The sequence below is a fragment of the Homo sapiens genome, chromosome 19 (assembly GCF_000001405.40).
Source record: "Homo sapiens chromosome 19, GRCh38.p14 Primary Assembly".
NCBI classification, from domain to species: Eukaryota; Metazoa; Chordata; class Mammalia; order Primates; family Hominidae; genus Homo; species Homo sapiens.
This window is the reverse complement of record NC_000019.10, coordinates 19,776,531-19,792,467: the sequence shown is the minus strand read 5'-3', so window position 1 is coordinate 19,792,467 and position 15,937 is coordinate 19,776,531. Positions and strand designations below refer to the sequence as shown.

The following is a 15,937-nucleotide window of genomic DNA, read 5'->3' as shown; positions in this document are numbered from 1 at the left end:
CACCCAGGCTGGAGTGCTGTGGCACGATCTCGGCTCACTGCAACCTCCACCTCCCAGGTTCACACCATTCTCCTGCCTCAGCTTCCTGAGTAGCTGGGACTACAGGCACCCGCCACCATGCCCGGCTAATTTTTTTGTATTTTTAGTAGAGATGGGGTTTCACTGTGTTAGCCGGGATGGTCAATCTCCTGACCTTGTGATCCGCCCACCTCGGCCTCCCAAAGTGCTGGGATTACAGGCGTGAGCCACCGCACCTGGCCATTATGCCACTAACTTTAACCTATCCCACCTTAATCAAGGGTGTACTTAAAAGATGGTAACAATATACTGTTTGGTACGTAGTGGAATAACATCTCTACTTGTCACTTTGCCAGTGGCTTTAAACTGCAAATGAGTTGAATTGTTCCCATAGCTTAAATTTTTTTTCTTATTGAAATCTATTACTAGTATTTGTGGGTATACAGTATGTGTATATCTTTATGCCTTATATGGCATATTTTGATTCAGGCCTACAATATGTAGTAATTACATTAGGGTAAAGTATCCATCACCTCTAGCATTTATCCTTTGAATTACAGTGTAATTATACATTTTTAATTATTTTAAAATGTACAATTAAATTGTTACTGACTACAGGTTTATTTTTATGGTCATAATAAAAATTATACAGAAAAATAAATAAAATATGGCCAGGTGCAGTGGCTCAGGCCTGTAATCCCAGCACTTTCCAAGGCAGGTGGATTGTCTGAGGTCAGGAGTTCAAGACCATCCTGGCCAACATAGTGAAACCCCGTCTGAGGAAGCGCTCCTTTCGCGGGGGCACTCGCTGTGGATGAATAAAGTACACTGACACACATTCTGCTCTGCCAGTCCAGCTGAGGGTCCGAGCCGCTTACAGGCTCCAAGGTGAGTTCTGTAAACAGTTGCAACTTGGCTCTGATCAGATAGTGAGGCTTGCATTTATTCAGTAAGACTAATTAACAAAAGTTGTGAGTAAACACCACTAGAGGGTAAAATTAAAGGCCAGGTTCCCAGGCCTAAAGCAAACACCATTTGTGGGTAATAAACTGCGGACCCCCGAGTAGGCGGCAGTAAAGTACCCTCAGCAGGACAAAAGTTAGTCTTAAGCCCATATAACTAAACAGGTTAGTAAGATAAACTTCCTACATTCCTTTTCACTTGCACCCTAATCTTCCTGGCCTCCTGCAAAGAGACCCTGGCTGCCTTCAGCCAAGCAATCAAGCTATGCAAACTCTCAGGCCTTTTAGGACAGCTTTTGACTGTTACTCTTTTAAATATTTTTCCCACCAGCCTGATTGAACCCCAACACCCAGCTCTACTAAAAACACAAAAATTAGCCAGACATGGTGGCACACACCTGGAGGCTGAGGCAGGAGAGAATCGCTTGAACCCCGGAGGTGGAGGTTGCAGTGAGCTGAGATCACGCCACTGCATTCCAGTCTGGGCAACAGAGCAAGACTCTATTTCAAAAAAAAACAAAGAAATAGAAATAGAATCCATGTATTTCTGAATCCTGAAAAATTATTAGTAAATGTTTATTATATAGTTTTCTTTGAACATCTGGTCTGTCTGCAAACATATAGACCTTTTTTTTTTTTTTTTTTGAGATGGAGTCTTGCTCTGTCCCCAGGCTGGAGTGCAGTGGCGTGATCTCAGCTCCCGGGATCGAGTGGTTCTCCTACCTCAGCCTCCCGAATAGCTGGGACTACAGGCATGTGCCACCATGCTTAGCTAATTTTTGTATTTTTAGTAGGGATGGGCTGTCACCATGTTGGCAAGGATGGTCTCGATCTCTTGACCTCATGATCCGCCCGCCTGGGATTACTTATATGAAATAAAATTTTAAATAAAAAATAGCATTTGATTACAACTATTGGTGAGACTATTAGTGTGAAGTCATATTTTTACTTACATTGACAAAATAACCATTCTGTATATTGGATATTGACTTCTATTGACAAAATAGCCATAACAATATTCTGATTTAGAATAATACTCCTTTTCTGCTGTATATTTGCAAGCTTTTATCAAATATTACGGGAGCTCAATAGAAATCAACAATATGAATCTTTATTTACCACAAACATTATTGATGCCTATGCTTGTTTTTCTTAAAATCTATTAGCTTTTTATGACACATTTATACTTTTTCAGTTGTTTATTACTGAGAAGTGGCTGTCCTGCCAGAAAACTGCTATTCTCAGCTGTATCCACAATGACTAATAGTGAGTGGAAGTGCAGTGGATAAAAGCAAATGTGTCTTCTCTGTATTTTTTTTCATCCATTGGCTAAAAAACAGGAGGATGCAGAAGATGAAAGAAAATACAATCCCTGAAAGATCATGAAGAAGCTCTCAATCAGACAAAAAACCCCATAGGAGATTTTTTTTTTTTTTCATTATTGTACTCTCTGCTTCTATGAGTTTAAATTTCTTTTACACTTCACATAGAAATAAACCTAGGCTTACATAGAAAGAAACCTAGGCTTTTGGCCAGGCATGGTAGCTTAAGCCTGTAATTCCAGCACTTTGAGAGGCAGAGGCAGGTGGATCACCTGAGGTCGGGAGTTGGAGATCAGCCTTACCAACATGGAGAAACCCCATGTCTACTAAAAATACAAAATTACCTGGGCGTGGTGGTGCGTGCCTGTAATACCAGCTACTCGAGAGGCTGAGGCAGGAGAATTGCTTGAACCTGGGAGGCGGAGGTTGCTGTTAGCCAAGACCGCGCCACTGCACTCCAGCTTGGGTGACAGAATGAGACTCCATCTCAAACAAAACAAAACAAACACAAATGAAAGGGAAGGAAGTGGATTACTGATAATAACTAAGGTATGGAATCAACCTGAGTGTTCATCAGTAGGTGAATGGAGAAAGAAAATGTGGTATATGTACACAATGAAATGCCATTCAGCCCTTAAAAATAAAGTCTTGTTATTTGCAACATTCATGAATCTGAAAGGTATGCTAAGTAAACCCAGCACAGAAAAAAAAAAAAAAAAAAATCCTTTTTTTTTTTTTTTTTGAGATGGAGTTTCACTCTTGTTGCCCAGGCTGGAGTGCAGTGGCATCATCTCAGCTCACTGCAACCTCCGCCTCCCGGTTTTAAGTGATTCTCCTGCCTCAGCCTCCCTAGTACCTGGGATTAGAGGGCACATGCCACCATGCCCAGCTAATTTTAATATTTTTAGTAGAGATGGGAGTTTCACCATGTTGGCCAGGGTGGTCTCGAACTCCTGACCTCAAGTGATCCACCCACCTCAGCCTCTCAAAGTGCTGGGTTACAGGTGTAAGCCACCACACCCAGCCAGAGGCCTAGGTTTCTTATTAGAAGATAGACTGTGATACTGAAAGCAAATAAAATGGTACATGTTACCTGGCTGCATTTCAAACAGGTGATGGTGACACTGCACTGAAGCACCAAAGGTGATTCTTGTTGGCCAGGCCAGAGCTCCTTGTGAAAAAGGTTAGGCCCACTGGTATGTCTGAAGCGTCCTAGCTGGATGGACAGAACCCCATGAGCTGTTTTGATTAGACTCTGAATTTAAAACACCTTGGTGCCCAGTAATGAGGACATTTTCACATTTAGCATAACGTGATTTGGTGTGTGGCTTGGATTTGACAAATCTTCACTGAGCTAATGGCTGATTGGATTTACTTGGCCTGAATGGAAAATAAAAATCACCTCTGAGCACTTTGGTGGTCTTTTTTATACATATAGATATGATATCGGTGGCTAGATAAACATATACACAGAAAGGCCAGGCACGGTGGCTCATGCCTGTAATCCCAGCACTTTGGGAGGCCGAGGTGGGTGGATCACCTGTGGTCAGGAGTTCGAGACCAGCCTGGCCAACATGGTGAAACCCCATCTCTAGTAAAAATACAAAAAATTAGCCAGGTGTGGTGGCAGGTGCCTGTAATCCCAGCTATTCGGGAGGCTGAGGTAGGAGAATCGCTTGTACCCAGGAGGCAGAGGTTGCAGTGAGCTGATATTGCACCATTGCACTCCAGCCTGGCCAACAAGAGTGAAACTCCATCTCAAAAAAAAAAACAGAAAATGGGTAACATAGGTATGTCAATGTAATTCCCATTATTGCATATGTCCTGTAGACAAGCCTCAGAATAAGTAGGTCAGAGGTTGCTTTCCTTCTCAACTTCTGCAGCCCAGATGAGTTTAATAAACCACTTAGATCAGCTTAGATGGATATAAGTCAATCGACCCAAATGGCAAATGTGAATCACACAGGCATACAGTGAGAAAGGAAGCAGGGCCCTGAAATGCTAAGCTGGAACTAGAGTCTAAGATGGCTTTACCAAAAACATACTTCCCAGGCCATGCACCTATATGTGAAGCTTTATTGATGTTTAAACATAACCTTGTATGGCTGTTTTCCAGTCTGAGATGGTATGGATCCATATAGGTGAGAGTAAGTTTATATCTGCATCCGCAGTGTAGGCTGGGGAATTTAAAATGTTGATTAATATCTATTGTATACATAAATATCTACATAGGCAAAGTCATATAATTCTATATGTTGTGTTTACCCATGTATAATCTAGATACAGATCTAGCATTTTTTTTCATATGCATACAGAATAAAGATATAGGAGGTCAAAGGATAAATGGGTATTTGTACTTACAGCAATGTAAAGAAAAACGTCAATAAATGCAAAATCTTATTTGCCATTTAAATTTTGTCCACAAGAGCACACAAATGGAGGTATGCTCTGACCTGCATCTTGCTGCATTTAATGTTTTCTTTTTTCCCTTTTTTTCTTTTTTTCTTTTTTTTTTTTTTTTGAGATGGAGTTTCGCTCTTCTTGCCCAAGCTGGAGTGCAATGGCACGCAATCTCAGCTCACCACAAGCTCCACCTCCCAGGTTCAAGCAATTCTCCTTCCTCAGCCTCCCGAGTAGCTGGTATTACAGGCATGTGCCACCACATCCGGCTAATTTTGTATTTTTTAGTAGAGACGGGGTTTCTCCATGTTGGTCAGCCTGGTCTCGACCTCCTGACCTCAAGTGATCCACCCGCCTCGGCCTCCCAAAGTGCTGGGATTACAGGCATGAGCCACCATGCCTGGCCAATTCTGCAGGTTTGAAAGGGGTCCATGGATTGGCTTCATTCACAGCTAATGCTGACCCTACTTGCCCTAGATCACTTATAGCAGCACTCAACTAGACAAAGTGCCACAGCACACAGTTCCTTAAACCTATACTCTTCTCACAACATAAATGCTTTCAGTCCAAAATAAAAACCACCAATCACTATCCTAAAACATGGCACACTCTGCTGGTCCTTTAAACTTTACAGAGGCTGGAGAAGGCAGCTCATGTCTGAGTAAGTCTGCATTTGGAAAACAACATGCACACATGCGTTAATGCAATGTTTATGGAGCATGCTCTGTGTGCTCAGAAGCACGCTACGGAGCTGGGAAGATGACATGAATTTATCCTTATAATACCCTGGGAGGTGGGTACTAACTGTCCCATAATTCCCTGGATTTATATGAAAAGCCCAGCATTTACATTTCTTCTTGTTCTCACTGATTTTTTTTAATTTTTTTATTTTTTTTTAATGCATGGAACAGGCCAGGCACGGTGGCTCATGCCTATAATTCCAGCACTTTGGAGGGCCAAGGCAGGCGGATCATCTGAGGTCAGGAGTTCACGCAAATCAGGGGGCCCGTGAAAGGCAACTGAGCAGGGATCCATGGGAAAGACACCCTCAGAGGCACAAGATTCTCTCGTTACCTTTCAGTTTGCTGATACTTCAGTTAAAGTCTCCTGGGAAACGTCTGCATTAGGTTCTTCCTCTGTAGTTCTTCTTACCTTGCCTGTAAAACAAAACCTATCTAGTGTCTGCATAGGTTTCCACTTCTTGTCCCCACCTGAGGAATGGAAAGCAACGGCACAGTCCTTGCTCATGTTTTGGAGTGAAAGGAGCTTGAAGGTCATGTGAGCTTTGCCAAGGCTTCTCCTGGCCTCATGTCAGATACAGCTCCTAACTCCCAAGCAGCCTACCATAGTGTCCTCCTTTTTTTGCGTGTGTGATGGGGTTTCGCACTTGTTGCCCAGGCTGGAGTGCAATGGTACAATCTCGGCTCACTGCAACCTCCGCCTCCCAGGTTCAAGTGATTCTTCTGCCTCAGCCTCTCAAGTAACTGGGATTACAGGCATGCGCCACTAAGGGAGGAGACCACTCCTCATATTGTCTTATGCCCAATTTCTGCTTCCAAAGAAAGAAGAAGTAAAAACTAAAAGGCAGAAATGAAATCCACAGGCAGACAGCCCAGCGCCACACCATGGGCCTGGTAGTTAAAGATCGAGCCCTGACCTAATCGGTTATGTTATCTACAGATTACAGACATTGTATAGAAAAGCACTTTGAAAATCCCTGTCCTGTTCTGTTCCATTCTAATTACTGGTGCATGCAGCCTTCAGTCACTTACTCCCTGCTTGCTCAATCGATCACGACCCTCTCATGCAAACCCCCTTAGAGTTGTAAGCCCTTAAGAGGGATAGGAATTGCTCACTCAGGGAGCTCAGTTTTTGAGACGTGAGTCTTGCCAATGCTCCCGGCCGAATAAAGCCCTTCCTTCTTTAACTCGGTGTCTGAGGGGTTTTGTCTACGGCTCGTCCTGCTACATTTCTTGGTTCCCTGACTGGGAAGCGAGGTGATTAACGGACAGTTGAGGCAGCCTGTTAGGCGGCTTAGGCCTGCCCTGTGGAGCATCCCTGCGGGGGACTCCGGCCAGCTTGAGCGATGCGGATCCTGAGAGCGCTCCCGGGTAAGCAAATTCCCTGGTGGAACGCCTCACCAGAGCAGCGTGTGGCAGCCCCCGCGGAGGATCAATGCAGTGACTGAACACCGGGAAGGAACTGGCACTTGGAGTCTGGACATCTGAAACTTGGTAAGACTAGTCTTTGGAACTTGCCCACTCCATTTGAGTGGAAGTGTGGCCTGATCACCTATGGCGTGCCTGTACCGGCACTTTGGTTTTTGTTTTTGACTTGACTTGGATTGCTTGATACTTTGGTTTTGGTTTTGACCTTGCTTGGATTTCTAGATACCCCGATTTTGGTATTGATTCTGGTTTGGTGTAAACTGTAAAAGTATGTGTGTGCCCTTTTTACCCGTTATTTGTTTTGTGGTGTGCGTGTGGTGCGAGCGTGGTGTTTTGTCTTGAAGAAGCATGGGTCAGGCACAAAGTAAGCCTGCCCCAGTAGGAGCTATGTTGAAAATTTTCAAGAAAGGATTTAAGGGAGATTACAGTGTTACTGTGATACCAGGAAAACTTAGAACTTTGTGTGAAATAGACTGGCCAGCATTAGAGGTGGGTTGGCCATCAGAAGGAAGATTGGACAGGTCCCTTGTTTCAAAGGTACGGCACAAGGTAACCTGTAAGCCAGGGCACCCAGACCAGTTCCTGTACATGGACACTTGGTTATAGCTGGTTTTAGACCCCCACCCCACAATGGTTGAGAGAACAGCAGCATAAGCAAGCTTGCAGAGGCAAGGAAAGACCAGCAGAGAGAGAAAGAGGAAGAGACAGAGAGATAAAGAGGGAGTCAAGGAAAGAGAGAGAGAGGCAGAGAAAGAGAAAGAGACAGAGGCAAAAGGAAAGTCAAAGAGAAAAAGAAAATCAGAGAAAGAAAGAGAGATATACAAGTAGTTAAGAAAAAAGTGTACCCTATTCCTTTAAAAGCCAGGGTAAATTTAAAACCTATAATTGATAATTGAAGGTATTCTCCATAACCCTATAAGACTCCAATACCACTTTGTTGTCAGTGTAAACAAGGGCGTATTCTGAAAGCACTGAGGCCACTGATAACCCGTAGCCTTCCTATCAAAAATCCTTAACCCAGTAACCCGCAGATGGCCCAGATGCATTCAATCTGTAGCGGCAACTGCTTTGCTAACAGAAGAAAGTAAAAAAATAACTTTTAGAGGAAACCTCATTGTGAGGAAACCTCATTGTGAGCACACCTCACCAGTTCAGAAGTATCCTAAGGAAAAAAAAAAAAAAGTGTGATTTAACATTAACCACTGAAAATTCCCTTAACCCAGAAGTTTTCCTAACAGGGCATCTAAATCTTAATTACCATACAAAGGTCCGACCAGACCTAGGAGGAACTCCCTTCAGGACAGGAGGATCAATCGTTCCTCCCAGGTAATTGAAGGAAAAAAAAAAAGCCATCTATACCAATTCTAAATTAATTTGGACAAAACAAGGTCTTATTAATGGCAAAGGATAATTAAAATCCCAAACTTACAAGGTTTTCAACAAAAGTAAAGTTTGCTAAAAGTTAACAGTGTAACATGTATTATAGTAACTTCTAATCTTGTGGCCTTAGACAGTCTCGTCCACAGACATAAAGGAAGTTCACTTTGGAAAAGAATGGTTATCATCTTTGAAAAAAAAGGGAAAAAAGTGGGGGAAGAATTTATGTAAAAAGAGTGTTATATGGTAAATTCTTGTCCTGAAATAAAGAAACTGGTTGTTTAAAGAAAGAAAGGTTTGTAATAAGTCAGAAAGTTGAGGCACGTCAAAGAATTGTCTGCAAAAGTCATGAAAGAGAAAAATGTTATAAAAAAAGAATTTATGCAAGAAATGTTGTATAATTTAAAAGTAGCTAGGCCTCCTGAATGTAAAACTATTGAAAAAAACAGTTTATGTGCAAGGTGTATAAGGAAAGTAAAATATACCTTTGGTAAAAGGATTATAAGGAGGCATAAGAATGTAAATTTTTACCTACATTAAAAGGTTAAAAAAATTATTGTTTTGAAGGTTTAAGCAAGTTTTTAAACATTAATTTTAAAGAAAATTCTGTGTGTAAACATATTAGCTAAAGTTAAAGGGGTATCATCCAGTTTTTTTGTGAACTGGACATTAAAATAAAAACACAACGGGTTTTTCTTAAAGCACTAACGTACTCTTTAACAAAAATTATAAAAGGTTAAAAAGAGTCTATAAAAATCTTACCTTATGGTCTGACATTAAAAATTGGATAAATATATCTACAAGGTTTTATTAAAATTAAGTTTCACATTAATAACACACTAATATAATGGTGAAATTTAGCTTATCTGGTATAAAAATCATACAAGAAGCATTATTAAATATATAATGGTGTTTGGCTTTCTTTGGTCTAAAAACTAATAAAAGCAGGTGCTAAAAGAAATTTCTCAGTAGAAAGGCACCAAAGACTATAAAGTCCACTGCTGATGTCCCCACATTTAAAACAAAAGGTCAGTTTCTTAGAAATTATATACTTGGTTTATCTTCCACTTTCCTTTACCTCAAAACTACAAGTCTTTTAGCACATGTACCACCCCTAGAATTTCCAGCAAACCAGCACCAGCCTAAAGATCACATTCTCATCAAAAGGTGAAAAGAAAGGAGCCAGGCTAGGAAGGCCCCTACCTTGTGCTGCTAACCACTGAGACTGCTGTTCGTACAATGGAAAAAGGATGGACTCATCACAACTGAGTCAAGAAAGCACCGCCCCCTCCAGAGTCTTGGGCCATAGTCCCAGGGGAAAACCCTACCAAACTAAAGCTAAGAAAACTTTTAACTCTTTCAAAATCTGTTCTATTACTCTTTCTTCTTTCCTCATTCTATTGCTGACCATCTAGTTATTAACATAACCAAGTCAATTTTGCCTCAAACTATTGCATTTAATGCTTGCCTTGTTATACCCTGTGGGGACTCTCAAGTGAAAGACAGCTCTCCACTTCAGAAAAGTACCTCTGTCCCCCCTGACTCTCCTCAGACTGGGCATTAGTAAATTAGGACTATTTAATCTGGGGAAATTTTGATAAAGACTCCAGTGTCAACCAGGAGTCTTGCTCCCCAACGTAGAGCTTTTATGCTGTAGTTGGTCCAACATTCTGTGGACCACTAAAGAGCAAGTGTGGACTGCCCCAAATGGTTTTTGTAATTCCCTAAAATCATGCATTCATTTTACTAGAGGATCATATAAGTTAAAGACTTAAAACGAACTTTGGCAATTAAGACAGGATACCAACATGCAAATGCCTGGTTGGAATGGATCAAATATTCCATCCCACGTTAAACAAAAGCAATTGTTATGCTTGTGCACATGGCAGGCCAGAGGCCCAGATTGTCCCCTTTCCACTAAGGTAGTCCTCCAGTTGACCAGGCATGGGCTGCATGGTAGCTCTTTTTCAGGATTCTACAGCCTGGAGTAATAAGTCGTGCCAAGCTCTCCCTGCTATATCCCAAAGTCCGGCACCCTGCAGGTCAGTCCCCGAGGGCCATCCAGCCTCCATCTCCCAACACTAAGTTCACTTTGTGTCTCTCATGATAGGGAGAAAAACTTAGCGTTCCTTGGAGACCTGAAGGGATGCAGTGAGCTTAAGAATTTTCAAGAGCTTATCAATCAGCCCTTGTTCATCCCCGAGCTAATGTGTGGTGATATTGTGGTAGACCTTTACTGGGCATTCTGCCAATAACTGGAGTGGCACTTGTACTTTAGTCCAATTGGCTATCCCTTTCACCCTGGCATTTCATCAACCAGAGGGAAGAAAAATAAGACATCGTAAAGCGAGAGAAGCCCCTTATGGGTCTTTCAACTCTCACGTCTATTTAGATGCAACTGGAGTCCCATGGGGAATACCAAATCAATTTAAAGCTTGAAATCAAATAGCTGCAGGATTCGAGTCAATATTTTGGTGGGTGACAGTTAATAAAAATGTAAATTGGATAAACTACATCTATTACAACCAACAGCAACGAGCTTTTCGTGAGTTAAAAGAAAAACTCATGTCGGCGCCAGCCCTGGGGCTACCTGACCTGACAAAACCCTTTACACTTTATGTGTCAGAAAGAGAAAAAATGGCAGTTGGAGTTTTAACCAGACTGTGGGCCTCCTAAGTAGCTGGGATTACAGGCGCCTGCCACCATGCTCAGCTAATTTTTTTGTATTTTTAGTAGAGATGAGGGTTTCCCCATGTTGGCCATGCTGGTCTCGAACTCCTGACCTCAGGTGATCTACCTGCCTCCGCCTCCCAAGGTGTTGGGATTACAGGCGTAAGCCACCATGCCTGGCTAAACTTAACTTGAATTATTTCTTATAGCTGCCTATTTTAAAGAAAAACAGAAATGAAGCTCAACCAATCAGAAGTAGCCAACAACCTTATATAACTAGGGACTTTTCAACAAGGTAAACAAACAAAAAACCAAGAAGAAACAAGTTTGTAACTACCACTAATCAAATAATTTGTTTCTACATTTTTCCAATAAATAGTTGCCTCTTACACTGTCAGTGAAACCTAAACCTCTTTTAGACTGGTGTCCTATAATTAATCAATTGCTGTTACTCAAATAAACTCTTTACAATTTTATTGTGTCTCAGATTACTTTTTAGAGGAATAAAATAAACTAGGAATCCATATTACACAAAGGTTTACAGAATGAGAAAAGACATACGACATTCATAAAATATATGAATGTAGACATAAGCAAATAGAAAAATTACATGTTCTTAGACCGAAAAACAATATACTATCAATATAAATTGTCCTCAAGGTAGTTTATAAAATAAATTTTGTTCTAATATAGATACCATTAGATATTGGAGGTAGGCATTTTACTATAAAATAGCATATAGGCTGGCTGCGGTGGCTCACACCTGTAATCCCAGCACTTTGGGAGGCTGAAGTGGGCAGATCACTTCAGGTCAGGAGTTTGAGACCAGGCTGGCCAACGTGGTGAAACCCTGTCTCTATGAAAATACAAAAATTAGCCAGACATGATGGCAGGTGCCTGTAATCCCAGCTATTCAGGAGGCTGAGGCAGGAGAATTGCTTGAACCTGTGAGGTGGAGGTTGCAGTGAGCCAAGCTGGTGCCACCGCACTCCAGCCTGGGCGACAGAGCAAGACTCTGTCTCAAAAATAAATACATACATACATACATACATACATACATAAAATAAAACAGCATATAGATGAAAAGACAAGAAGAGCCAAGAAAACTCTGGGGAAACAAAAAAAAAAAAAACAGATAATATTGTCCAGCCCTGTGAAAAATCTTGATTAAAAAAGCTAATAGATCAGCTGGGCGTGGTGGCTCAGGCCTGTAATCCCAGCACTTTGGGAGGCCAAGGTGGGTGGATCACGAGGTCAGGAGATCGAGACCAGCCTGGCTAACACGGTGAAACCCCATCTCTACTAAAATACAAAAAAAATTAGCTGGGCGTGATGATGGGCACCTGTAGTCCCAGCTACTTGGGAGGATGAGGCAGGAGAATGGCGCAAACCTGGGAGATGGAGCTTGCAGTGAGCTGAGATTGTGCCACTGCACTCCAGCCTGGGTGACAGAGCAAGACTCTGTCTAAAAATAAATAAATAAAAGCTAATAGATAATTGGAACTAAAAATTCAGAAATAGACTAAAGTGCCTAAGAAAGTGTCTTAGTCCATTCAGGCTGCTGTAACAAAATACCTTAGGCTGGGTAATGTAAAAACAACAGAAATTTATTGCTCACAATTCTGGAGGCTGGAAAGTGCTAGATCAAGACACCAACAAATTTGGTGTTTGATGACAGCCCTGATCCTCATAGATGATACCTTCTTGGTGTGTCCTCACATGGCGAAAGACAAGGACACTCCCTTCAATGTTATTAAAAAGGGCACTTATTCCATTCAGGAAGATGGCGCTCTCTTGGCTTAGTCACTTCCCGAAAGGTCGCATGCCTAATACTATCCACATATGAATTTGGAGGGGGACACAAATATTTAGACCAAACCAAAAATTTAATAAACAAGAAAAACTATGTGGAGGATGGCATCATTAATACTTGACATGTGAAAAATTGATGTTCCTACCACAAAGGAAAGAAATGACTTATTCTTCATGTTCTTCATGACATAGAACAAAATAAAGGCCCAATGAAAGATAAATCTATACAAAAAAATGAATCAGTGTTGATAAGGTGAATTCTACAGGTTGTATCAGGATTTCTGAGGTTTCTGGGGATGGGCAGGGCCCCAGAGTTTCCTCCCGTGACATTTTCCCTGAAGTTGCTCATGCTCTTATTCAATTTGAAAGTGAATAAAGGCCAGGCGTGGTGGCTCACGCCTGTAATCTCAGCACTTTGGGAGGCCGAGGCAGGTGGATCACAAGGTCAGGAGTTCAAGACCAGCCTGGCCAACATCATGAAACCCCGTCTCTACTAAAAATTAGCTGGGCATGGAGGCACGCATCTGTAATCCCAGCTACTTGGGAGGCTGAGACAGGAGAATCGCTTGAATCTGGGAGGCAGAGGTTGCAGTGAGCCGAGATTGCGCCACTGGACTCCAGCCTGGGAGACAAACCAAGACTCCATCTCAAAAAAAAGAAAAAAAGTGGATAAAAATGTTTTTTCCTGTTCCAATATTTAAGAAATTCAAAATAAACAGGCCTATGTATGCGTGATTCTCAAACAATCAGTCAGTGGTGCACTGTTAAGGAAGAGCAAAGAATCCCACATCCACAGAAGTACAATGTTCTGTCAGATAAAGATGTCTCCCCGTGCCAGAACCACATATTTTACACATGATCAGAGGCTTTCATGGGCAAGCATTGCTCTGTAGCCCTACCACAGACTTAACCCTGTCAATCTGACTTAGAAGGTCACTGATGAACACATGCCCTAGTGTTCTGATCTACATGAATCCTCTCTTAATGGTCCCTTTCCAGGGATCTGGGATCTTTCCTGAATTCATCTGCCACACACAGATAGACTCAAAAATTTAGACAGAAGCTGTGATCCTCACTGGCACATCTGCCCTGTCCTATCAGCTTCTCTAGAAGTACACTGCTCTAATTGCTCCTGAGTGACCCCATCTAAGGGTATCTCTCTGTGCCAACATAATTGATTTCATAAACCGGGAAGAGAAATAAGCAAGAGTCTAGCTATGCTGGGGCTAACATTCCCTTATCTATGTCTCTAATTTATCCAAATATTGACCAAAAAGATTAGTGGTGGTAGGAAAATGGAAGGAGGAGCTCCAGTTCACAGAAGGAGAAAATATAATCAGTGCTGCCTAGCGTCCAGCTTAAGCTTACCCATGGGGGACTGAGTCTCTTCAGAAAAAAGCGATGGTTCTCCATTGTATTAGTCTGTTCTCATGCTGCTAATAAAGACATACCCAAGAGTGGGTAATTTATAAAGGAAAGAGGTTTAATTGACTCACAATTCCACATGGCTGTAGGTCAGGGCAGTGGGGTTCACAATCATGGAGGAAGGCAAGGATGAGCGAAGTCATGTCTTACACGGTGGCAGGCAAGAGAGCATGTGCAGGGGAACTGCCCTCTATAAAATCATCAGATCTTGTGACATATATTCACTACCACGAGAACAGCTTGGGAAAGATGCACACCCGTGATTCGATTACCTCCCTCCAGGTCCCTCTCATATCACACGGGAATTATGGGAGCTACAATTCAAGATGAGATTTGGGTGGGGATACAGCCAAACCATATCATTCATCATCTGAGGGAACTGTGGTCTCAGACAGCTGGGCACTGAGAGTGCACGCTGCCCCCTAGAATTCCACACCTACATCACAGAGAGACAGAACAGTCTCAAAGGATTCTTAAGGTTAATGTGGGGAGCCAAAGGAGGAGATGAATTCACAGCTTGTGCCTTACCTTCTGGTCTAACTAAAACTACTTTTGTCCTGGCCCAACAAGATTCCCAGACTCTTTTCTGGGTTGCACCAGGGGTAATTCAGAAAGACAAAAAGTTATTAATGCCCCTCCATTCCCCACAGCTCCTGAGGTCTAAGTTGTTCATTCCCTGGGTTTTAGGTTGTTGTTCTCCCTCTGCTTCCACAGAATCAGTGTGCCCCATTCCAGTACCTATGATTTCACCTGTATTCTTGTCACCTCCTACTTTCTCCTAGACATTTTATCTAACAGAGCCAGGTGAAACAGAGACAAGGATATTTACATAAAACTTAAACAGAACTAAGTTGGAGTTCCATAACCCCCATTGGGCTGGGATGGCACTCAGGCTGGCCTAAGATTGTGGTTATGGAACAGAAAGACACATTTTGCCCAGGAATGATCAGTGTGGAATCTCAAATTTGGGAAATAGATCCTTAGAGCGCCCAATCGTTTCATCCTTCTCTTGGAGGCAATCAGGAAGAGATAATCCCCTTTTGGAGAAAACCATGTCTAATCAACAGATTACCTAACCAACATGTGTGGAAAAGGAGTTAAAATCTGACAGTTGACCCATTTTAGTAGATTTGGTAATAAATGCCACAAAGTCAGAGTTCAAGTGGTCTCAAAAGCCTAAAAGGTGACACAGATTAGTTTCAAGGGACACAAGGTGTCACTGGGTGTGCCAACCTCCCAGAGGGTGAGAACCATGGCAACTTTGGGCAGGCTGGGAAACGATCCCGGACTCTTGCAGTTCTGTGAGAAATCAAACTTACCGCAACTTTGGAAGTCAGGAAGCCAGCACGTTGGGGGATGCGGTATCACAATTTCTTGGTGAGACAAGCTGTCCTGGTAGCTTGTCCTCTCCCATCAGGTAGGAGAGGTTAAAGAACAGGCAGGCTCCCCGTCTGCATGGCGGAACAGCTCTGAAGGCATGGAGGAGCGAGGCTGAAGGTGGGGGCCTTCGCCCATCATGCCGGAAGCTGAAATTTCTTGTTACCTGCAAGTGATCGCAGGGCTGCAGGACTACAATCCCAGCGTGCACAGGGATCAGGGACTGTGCGCATCACTGGAGGAAGGGGCAGAGCTGCGCGCGCCTGGCTGAGCATGCTAGGACATGTAATCTCATGGCCAGTCCCAGCCCTTCGGCCACAAGGCTGCAGGACTACAATCCCAGCCTGTACCAGGCTCGGGGGCGGTTCGCAACCCCAGAGGAAGGGGCAGGGCGGTGCGCGCCGCG

General features: G+C 42.7%; 1 pseudogene across 1 annotated transcript in view, besides 2 other annotated features; it reads right to left on the bottom strand.

Moving 5' to 3' along the window:
• The window catches only part of ZNF56P (zinc finger protein 56, pseudogene), a 59,609-nt pseudogene extending 43,715 nt beyond the window's left edge, over nucleotides 1–15,894 (bottom strand). Inside the window, exon 1 of the transcript NR_171023.1 lies at nucleotides 15,474–15,894. The product of NR_171023.1 is annotated as a zinc finger protein 56, pseudogene (transcript). The remainder of the gene's footprint in view (nucleotides 1–15,473) is intronic.
• Nucleotides 15,020–15,911: an enhancer, noted in NCBI's record as "H3K27ac hESC enhancer chr19:19887366-19888257 (GRCh37/hg19 assembly coordinates)". NCBI's record gives its function as "activates a minimal SCP1, AML or CMV promoter by ChIP-STARR-seq in naive and primed H9 embryonic stem cells {active_cell/tissue: H9 hESC(naive and primed)}" and the evidence as "EXISTENCE:reporter gene assay evidence [ECO:0000049][PMID:30033119]".
• Nucleotides 15,538–15,907: an enhancer, noted in NCBI's record as "active region_14371". NCBI's record gives its function as "activates an Ori minimal core promoter by ATAC-STARR-seq in GM12878 lymphoblastoid cells {active_cell/tissue: GM12878}" and the evidence as "EXISTENCE:reporter gene assay evidence [ECO:0000049][PMID:35858748]".